This window comes from Homo sapiens, chromosome 17 (genome assembly GCF_000001405.40).
Source record: "Homo sapiens chromosome 17, GRCh38.p14 Primary Assembly".
In the NCBI taxonomy this organism is placed as follows: Eukaryota; Metazoa; Chordata; class Mammalia; order Primates; family Hominidae; genus Homo; species Homo sapiens.
The window spans coordinates 1301487-1310440 of NC_000017.11; positions in this window are offsets into that span (position 1 = coordinate 1301487).

Below are 8954 nucleotides of genomic sequence, written 5' to 3' on the forward strand. Positions count from 1 at the left end.
ACCCTGCTGGCCTCACTACTGGGACACTCACTGCCACCCCCAACAACCAACTCTCTGCCTTCCTAGAGCGTTTTCTTTAGGTCGGAGTCACATGGTCCAGGAAGCCTGCCCTAAGTGTCTGCGTCCCCAGGGTTCAGTACAGAGCCTGGCACGTAGCAGGTGCTGAGGACAAGTCTGTAGAAGGAGGGAGGGAGGGGCCCCAGCAACCAGGAGCCTCCCAGGTTGCAGGATCCCTGTGAGCGGAAGCTCCTTCCATCCAGACTGGAGGCCACGGCGCCGCTTCCTGTGTGCCAGGCGCGGGGCTCCCTGCTCCGCTGGAATTACCTCATTTAATCCTCACAACACTTCCACGAGGGATCCTCCCATTTTCCTGGGAAGAAATAAAACTCAGGCGATCCAGGGGCTTAGCCAAGGTCATACAGTCAGGAGCCAGTAGAGCAGGACAGTCCTTGAGAAGCGTGCCTCGGTGACAGGGGCCTCTCCAGACCATAAAAGCCTGCGGGCTCTGCCAAGGGAGCTGACTGTTTCCACACCCTGTAACTGCTCCCAGCACTTTGGGAGGCTGAGGCGGGCGGATCACCTGAGGCCACCAGTTTGAGACCAGCCTGACCAATATGTTGAAGCTGACAAGCTTCAAAACGAACATTGATTGAACTGAAAAATATGATGTACATGTGTCCTTACACACTTTTGTTTTGTTTTGTTTTTTGAGACAGAGTTTCGCTCTCGTTGTCCAGGCTGGAGTGCAGTGGCGTGATCTCGGCTCACTGCAACCTCTGCCTTCCCAGGTTCAAGCGATTCTCCTGCCTCAGCCTCCCAAGTAGCTGGGATTATAGGTGCCCGCCACCACACCGGCTAATTTTTGTCATTTTAGAGATGGGGTTTCACCATATTGGCCAGGCTGGTCTCAAACTCCTGACCTCAGGTGGTCCACCTGCCTCGGCCTCCCAAAGTGCTGGGATTACAGGCATGAGCCACGGCGCCCAGCCACCTGGAGGTGATTATTAAGGTGAAATGCCACCAGTGTAACGTCAGCAACAGCCACACTCAGGTGAGCCGGACCCTTCTACACACCCTCTGTCAGCGACAGCCAGGCCCCTTTACAGCAGGCATCGGGGGCCTGAAAGTCCACGCCCCTTCACAGCAGGCATCGGGGCCTGGCATCGGGGCCTGGAAGTTTCTTTGGGATCATTTGTCGGACACCAATTTCAGAAGTTTAAAAGCAGGTTGGGAGGAGGGCACGTGTTTTGCAATCAGTAAACGAGGAAAGGGGGGTCTCACCGTGCGGAGGCTTCGATGACAGACGTGCTTCTGGGACCCGGGGCTCTGGCGCCCTGTCGGTAAACAGGTCCATGATCTCTGCAGGCCCATGGGCTGTGGGAGGCCCGACAGAGAGCTGGACACACAGAAGGCCGCGTCCTGGGGCTCAGCAGGCAGCTCCTCCCATCCCACAATCTGGGAGGCTCTGGGCACCCCAGGCTGACCGCGACATTCTGATCTCCTCCAGCCCCAGGCCTACCTCGCCTCCTTCCCGTTCCTTGATGCAAAAGAGGAGACGGCCCCCTGTGTCCAGGAACCAGGAGCACCTGGCCCCGTCCCAGGCCTTTCAGGCATTGGCTGTGTGACCTCCGGCAGCCCACGGCCTCCCTCTGAACCTCAGTCTCCCTGTGTAAAGGAGGGACTCAGTCTGGAGCAGGCTTTTCAGGCCTGGCCACACTGGAATCACCTGAGATGTTTAAAAAATCCTACTACCGGCCAGGCACAGTGGCTCACACCTGCAATGCCAGCACTTTGGGAGGCCGAGGCGAGCGGATGGTCAGGGGTTCGAGATTAGCCTGGCCAACATGGCAAAACCCCGTCTTCTACTAAAAATACAAAAATTAGCCGGGCATGGTGGAGGGTACCTGTAATCCCAGCTACTTGGGAGGCTGAGGCAGGAGAATCACTTGAATTCAGGAGGTGGAGGTTGCAGTGAGCTGAGATCGCACCATTATACTCCAGCCTGAGCGACACAGTGAGACTCTGTCTCAAAAAAAAAAAATATTCTACTACCTGGGTGCCACTGCTAGTGAATCTGGCTTAATTGGTCTGGGTGCAGCTTGCACACCAGAGTTTTAAAAGCCTTCCAGGTGATCCCAATGGACACTCAAGCCTGGGCCCCACCGGTCTGGACTCTAGAGGCTTTTGCTACTCAAAGTGTGGTCCCCGGACCATCAGCATGGGCATCACCTGGAGCTGTCAGAAAGCTCAGGCCATACCCTAGCCTTATCAATCAGAATCAGCCCTTTAACAGGATCCTCAGGTGCTTTGTATGCAATTTAAAGTTGGACCAGGCCAGAAGAGTCGCTAGCCCTGTAATCCCAGCACTTTGGGAGGCTGAGGCGGGCAGATCACGAGGTCAGGAGTTCGAAACCAGCCTGGCCAATATGGTGAAACCCCATCTCTACTAAAAATACAAAAATTAGCCAGGCATGGTGGCAGGCGCCTGTAATCCCAGCTACTCAGGAGGCTGAGGCAGGAGAATCACTTGAACCCGGGAGGCAGAGGTTGCAGTGAGCTGAGATCGCACCATTGCACTCCAGCCTGGGTGACAGAGCAAGAGTCTGTCTCAAAAATGAAAGAAAGAAAGAAGGAAAGAAAGTTGGACCAGCTCTGATCAGATGCCTGAGGCAGCTTCCACTCTCAGCGTTCCTTGGGGCCGGCCGGCTTTCCTGCAGTCCCAGAAAGGCAGAGCCACGGAGCTGAGAGGCACTTACAGGCTTGAAACCTGCCAGTGGGGCCTTTATCTCACCTCTAAAAGAATAATCCTCCATCCCTCTGTCTCCCTCCCTCTCTTCCTTTCTTTCTTCATCCTAGAATTTATTGTAACAAACTGAGAACATCTAGGCAATACTGAGAAACCAAGAGAAGGATAAGAGAAACCCCAGATAAGTGTGGAAGGGGGTCTCACAGCAGAAGAGGCCGGCACCCACATCCAGCGTGGTCACAGTGAGGCTGTGGCCCAGGTGGAGAAGACCACCTTTGTGTGGGGGGGAGGAAGTTGGAAGGGCAGGGTGGGCGTGGCCCAAAAGTGCAATTCTGGGGGATGTTGGACCTTCTAGAACCTTCCCAGGGTTGAAGGAGAGCCAAGTGGGTGTCTCAGAGCTGCTTGGATGGAAACTTCTACTCACAACCAAAATCAACACCCTGGGTTCTCCCTGGTCTCCATCCCCAGACTCTAGGCCTGGAGGAAGCAGGAGGGGGCAGGGACCCTGGGAAGCTGTGAGGCCTCTTGCACCCCTGTCCTGGGGCAGGAATTCCTGCTCCCGGAGTTGGCCCAGGTTCATATGCTGCCTTTGTGCTGACTGCAAAGTGGGCCCTCCTATACAGACAAAAACATGAAAACTGCAAACGCCTCCCCTTCCTGGGATGTTTGCGGCTGGACGCCCAGCCTGGTGTGCTGAGGGTAGTTGGATTTCAGAGGTCCTGGGCACTGCCTGAGCAGGGCACAGTCTGCGAGGCCGTCCTGGGCAGACCTGCCCGCTACGCCTTGTTGGGGTCCTTTCCCGGAGGTGGCAGCACAGCCGGTCAGCTGGAAGCGGGGCAGCCAGGGCTTCTGCTCCTGCATTATTGATCTGCTGCCTGGTCGTGGGTATGAATAATTAATCAGAGCGAGGAAGCACAGAAGATTGCGAGCCGAGGTGCAGCCCAGCTCCTCCCCGCCTCGCCCCTCAGGGTTGGCTCCTCTTTGCTTACTGTGCTTCTGTGGGGGAGGCTGTACGGAATCTCAAGCTTCTCCTCCTGCCCACAAGGCAGGCCCAGGAAAGGCCCCACAGCTTTGGAATTGCAACGACCCATGTCATCAGGATGGAGCTGCCTGCAGCCCCTGGACCAGGCTGGCCATCCTCACTGTGCTCCTGGCCATCTGGGACTCAGAGTCAGGCAGCCGGAGTTCAAATGCTGAATCCTTAAACATCTTTTTTTTTTCTTTTTGAGAAAGAGTCTCACTCTATCGCCAGGCTGGAGTGCAGCGGTATGATCTCAGCTCACTGCAACCTCTGCCTCCCAGGTTCAAGCGATTCCCCTGCTTCAACCTCCCGAGTAGCTGGGACTACAGGCTTCTGCACCACACCCGGCTAATTTTTTTTTTTTGTATTTTTACTAGAGACGGGGTTTCACCATGTTGGCCAGGCTGGTCTCAAACTCCTAACCTCAAGTGATCCACCCGCCTCAGCCTCCCTAAGTGCTGGGATTACAGGCCTGAGCCAGGGTGTCCGGCCCTTGAACTTCTTTGCGCCTCCACCTCTTCATGGGTCGAATGGAAACAGTGTATCAGGTGGATCGTGTTTATGGTGAGAAGAAGCCGGCCTGGTCCTGACTGCAGCATGAGTTCCATAAACACAAGTTGATGCTGTCGCTGATATTGTTTATAGTAAATGGCTTCTTTCACTGCTGCCAAGGTCTTGGGAAGGGGAGATTGGTGGGTAACTGACGGGCCTGCTTAGGGTGGAGGTGGTCAGAACTTCAGGGGAGAGGGTGCGGGCCAGGGTGGGTGATGCCCTATCTGGGGTATCTCTGGGTGGGGCCGCCAGGGAGGGGTAGGAGTGGAGGTAGGAAGATAATCAAAACAATTATCCAGAATTACTGGGCACGGTGGCTCACACCTGTCATCCCAGCACTTTGGGAGGCCAAGGTGGGCAGATCAGAAGGTGAAGAGATGGAGACCAGCCTGGCCAACATGGTGAAATGCCGTCTCTACTAAAAATACAAAATTAGCCAGGCATGGTGGCGCGTGCCTGTAATCCCAGCTACTCGGGAGGCTGAGGCAGGAGAATCACTTGAATCTGGGAGGCAGAGGTTGCAGTGAGCAGAGATCAGAGATTGCACCACTGCACTCCAGCCTGGGCAACAGAGCAGGGCTCTGTCTCAATTAAAAAAAAAAAAAGAAAAGAAAAGAAAGAAAGAAAAATGTGACTGGTTGTGACCAATTCATTGTAAACACCATTGCACTCGGACCAACAGGTCCCCTTTAAAGAGCTTTCCAGGAGTTCCTGTCCAGTGACTTTGCTTTATATTCTTGGACCACGACTGTGCCATACAACCACCACTAGCTGCAGAGGAGGCTGGGAAATTCCTTCCTTTCAGCGGAGCACACGGATGCCCCAAGGCAAACCGCGGTTCTGTTAGGAAAAGAATGGATACTGCGGAGCAGCCAGTGTTTCAACTAGATGTGCACTATCAAGGTATCAGCAAATTAAGAATAAGGTATCCAGGAGGCTGAGGCAGGAGAATGGCATGAACCCGGGAGGCAGAGCTTGCAGTGAGCCGAGATTGCACCACTGCACTCCAACCTGGGCGACAGAGCAAGACTCTGTCTCAAAAAAAAAAAAGTGTCAAGTTATAGTTTGTTTACTGAATGAACAGTCGTTGAATGCCTACTATGTAGCAGACACTGTGCTGTGTTTTGGGAACTTTTAGTTTAGTGCCTGGAGAGAATAAAAAATGGATACATCCTTACAATATGTGATACTGATTAGGAATTGTCCTGAAAGTATGTGATGGAGGGAATCAGGGAAGCTCTGCCTGAGGAAGTGACATCTCCACGGAGTTCTGCCGGAGTGGTCCAGGTGTGGAAGGGGTGAAGGTGTCCAGCTGGAGCCAGGCCGATGGCAGGCGTGGGGCAGGGTCAGGAGGGCAAGCGCTGGGCTCATCATGCACAGGGTCAGGGAGGCACCGACTTGGGACCATTCGGTGATTAATCCCTTCCAGCAGGTAGATTAATGACAGTGGTGGGGTTGATTTATTTCTCATTTCCTATGATAAACACCATTAAAAGAAGGAGGCCGGGCCCGGTGGCTCACGCCTGTAATCCCAGCACTTTGGGAGGCCGAGGTGGGCAGATCCAGAGGCCAGGACTTCAAGATCATCCTGGCTAACACGGTGAAACCCCATCTCTACTAAAAATACAAAACATTAGTGGGGCGTAGTGCTGGGCGCCTGTAGTCACAGCTACTCGGGAGGCTGAGGCAGGAGAATGGCGTGAACCCGGGAGGCGGGGCTTGCAGTGAGCTGAGATCTCGCCACTGCACTCCAGCCTGGGCGACAGAGCGAGACTCCGTCTAAAAAAAAAAAAAAAGAAGAAGGAGGAGGAGGAGGCCAGGAATGGTGGCTCATGCCTGTAATCCCAGTGCTTTTGGAGGCTGAGGAGGGAGGATCGCTTGGGCCTGGGAGGAGGAGGTTGCAGTGAGCCATGATTGCACCACTGCACTCCAGCCTGGGCAATGGAGCAAGACCCTGTCCCAAAAAAAGAAAAGAAAAAAAAGAAAAAGAAGGGGAGAAAAGTCAAATAATTAGTATCTAACTTAGAAACAAGCATGGACTCCAATTCAGTCCAGTCATCCAAGCTGTTACTGAAAACTCTCACGACAGAGCGGGCATCAGGGGCGGGCACGGCAGGCAGGAAAAGGATCTCCTGCAGCCTCCAGGAAGGTGTGGGTGGCAACCGTCAGCTGGACGCACAGTGGCCACCTCTACAGGGGACAAGGAGGCAGAGTGACACGTCTCAGCCCTGGAGATGCCAAAAGGGGTTCTCTGGAGAAGGGCTGTGTCATCAGACAGATCAGGAAAACGGAATGACATCGAGCTACACGCTGTCATCAGACAGATCAGGAAAACGGAATGACATCGAGCTACACGCTGTCATCAGACAGATCAGGAAAACGGAATGACATCGAGCTACACGCTGTCATCAGACAGATCAGGAAAACGGAATGACATCGAGCTACACGCTGTCATCAGACAGATCAGGAAAACGGAATGACATCGAGCTACACGCTGTCATCAGACAGATCAGGAAAACGGAATGACATCGAGCTACACGCTGTCATCAGACAGATCAGGGAAACGGAATGACATCGAGCTACACGCTGTCATCAGACAGATCAGGAAAACGGAATGACATCGAGCTACACGCTGTCATCAGACAGATCAGGAAAACGGAATGACATCGAGCTACACGCTGTCATCAGACAGATCAGGAAAACGGAATGACATCGAGCTACACGCTGTCATCAGACAGATCAGGAAAACGGAATGACATCGAGCTACACGCTGTCATCAGACAGATCAGGAAAACGGAATGACATCGAGCTACACGCTGTCATCAGACAGATCAGGAAAACGGAATGACATCGAGCTACACGCTGTCATCAGACAGATCAGGGAAACGGAATGACATCGAGCTACACGCTGTCATCAGACAGATCAGGAAAACGGAATGACATCGAGCTACACGCTGTCATCAGACAGATCAGGAAAACGGAATGACATCGAGCTACACGCTGTCATCAGACAGATCAGGGAAACGGAATGACATCGAGCTACACGCTGTCATCAGACAGATCAGGAAAACGGAATGACATCGAGCTACACGCTGTCATCAGACAGATCAGGAAAACGGAATGACATCGAGCTACACGCTGTCATCAGACAGATCAGGAAAACGGAATGACATCGAGCTACACGCTGTCATCAGACAGATCAGGGAAACGGAATGACATCGAGCTACACGCTGTCATCAGACAGATCAGGAAAACGGAATGACATCGAGCTACACGCTGTCATCAGACAGATCAGGGAAACGGAATGACATCGAGCTACACGCTGTCATCAGACAGATCAGGAAAACGGAATGACATCGAGCTACACGCTGTCATCAGACAGATCAGGAAAACGGAATGACATCGAGCTACACGCTGTCATCAGACAGATCAGGAAAACGGAATGACATCGAGCTACACGCTGTCATCAGACAGATCAGGAAAACGGAATGACATCGAGCTACACGCTGTCATCAGACAGATCAGGAAAACGGAATGACATCGAGCTACACGCTGTCATCAGACAGATCAGGAAAACGGAATGACATCGAGCTACACGCTGTCATCAGACAGATCAGGAAAACGGAATGACATCGAGCTACACGCTGTCATCAGACAGATCAGGAAAACGGAATGACATCGAGCTACACGCTGTCATCAGACAGATCAGGAAAACGGAATGACATCGAGCTACACGCTGTCATCAGACAGATCAGGAAAACGGAATGACATCGAGCTACACGCTGTCATCAGACAGATCAGGAAAACGGAATGACATCGAGCTACACGCTGTCATCAGACAGATCAGGAAAACGGAATGACATCGAGCTACACGCTGTCATCAGACAGATCAGGAAAACGGAATGACATCGAGCTACACGCTGTCATCAGACAGATCAGGAAAACGGAATGACATCGAGCTACACGCTGTCATCAGACAGATCAGGAAAACGGAATGACATCGAGCTACACGCTGTCATCAGACAGATCAGGAAAACGGAATGACATCGAGCTACACGCTGTCATCAGACAGATCAGGAAAACGGAATGACATCGAGCTACACGCTGTCATCAGACAGATCAGGAAAACGGAATGACATCGAGCTACACGCTGTCATCAGACAGATCAGGAAAACGGAATGACATCGAGCTACACGCTGTCATCAGACAGATCAGGGAAACGGAATGACATCGAGCTACACGCTGTCATCAGACAGATCAGGAAAACGGAATGACATCGAGCTACACGCTGTCATCAGACAGATCAGGGAAACGGAATGACATCGAGCTACACGCTGTCATCAGACAGATCAGGAAAACGGAATGACATCGAGCTACACGCTGTCATCAGACAGATCAGGAAAACGGAATGACATCGAGCTACACGCTGTCATCAGACAGATCAGGAAAACGGAATGACATCGAGCTACACGCTGTCATCAGACAGATCAGGAAAACGGAATGACATCGAGCTACACGCTGTCATCAGACAGATCAGGGAAACGGAATGACATCGAGCTACACGCTGTCATCAGACAGATCAGGAAAACGGAATGACATCGAGCTACACGCTGTCATCAGACAGATCAGGAAAAC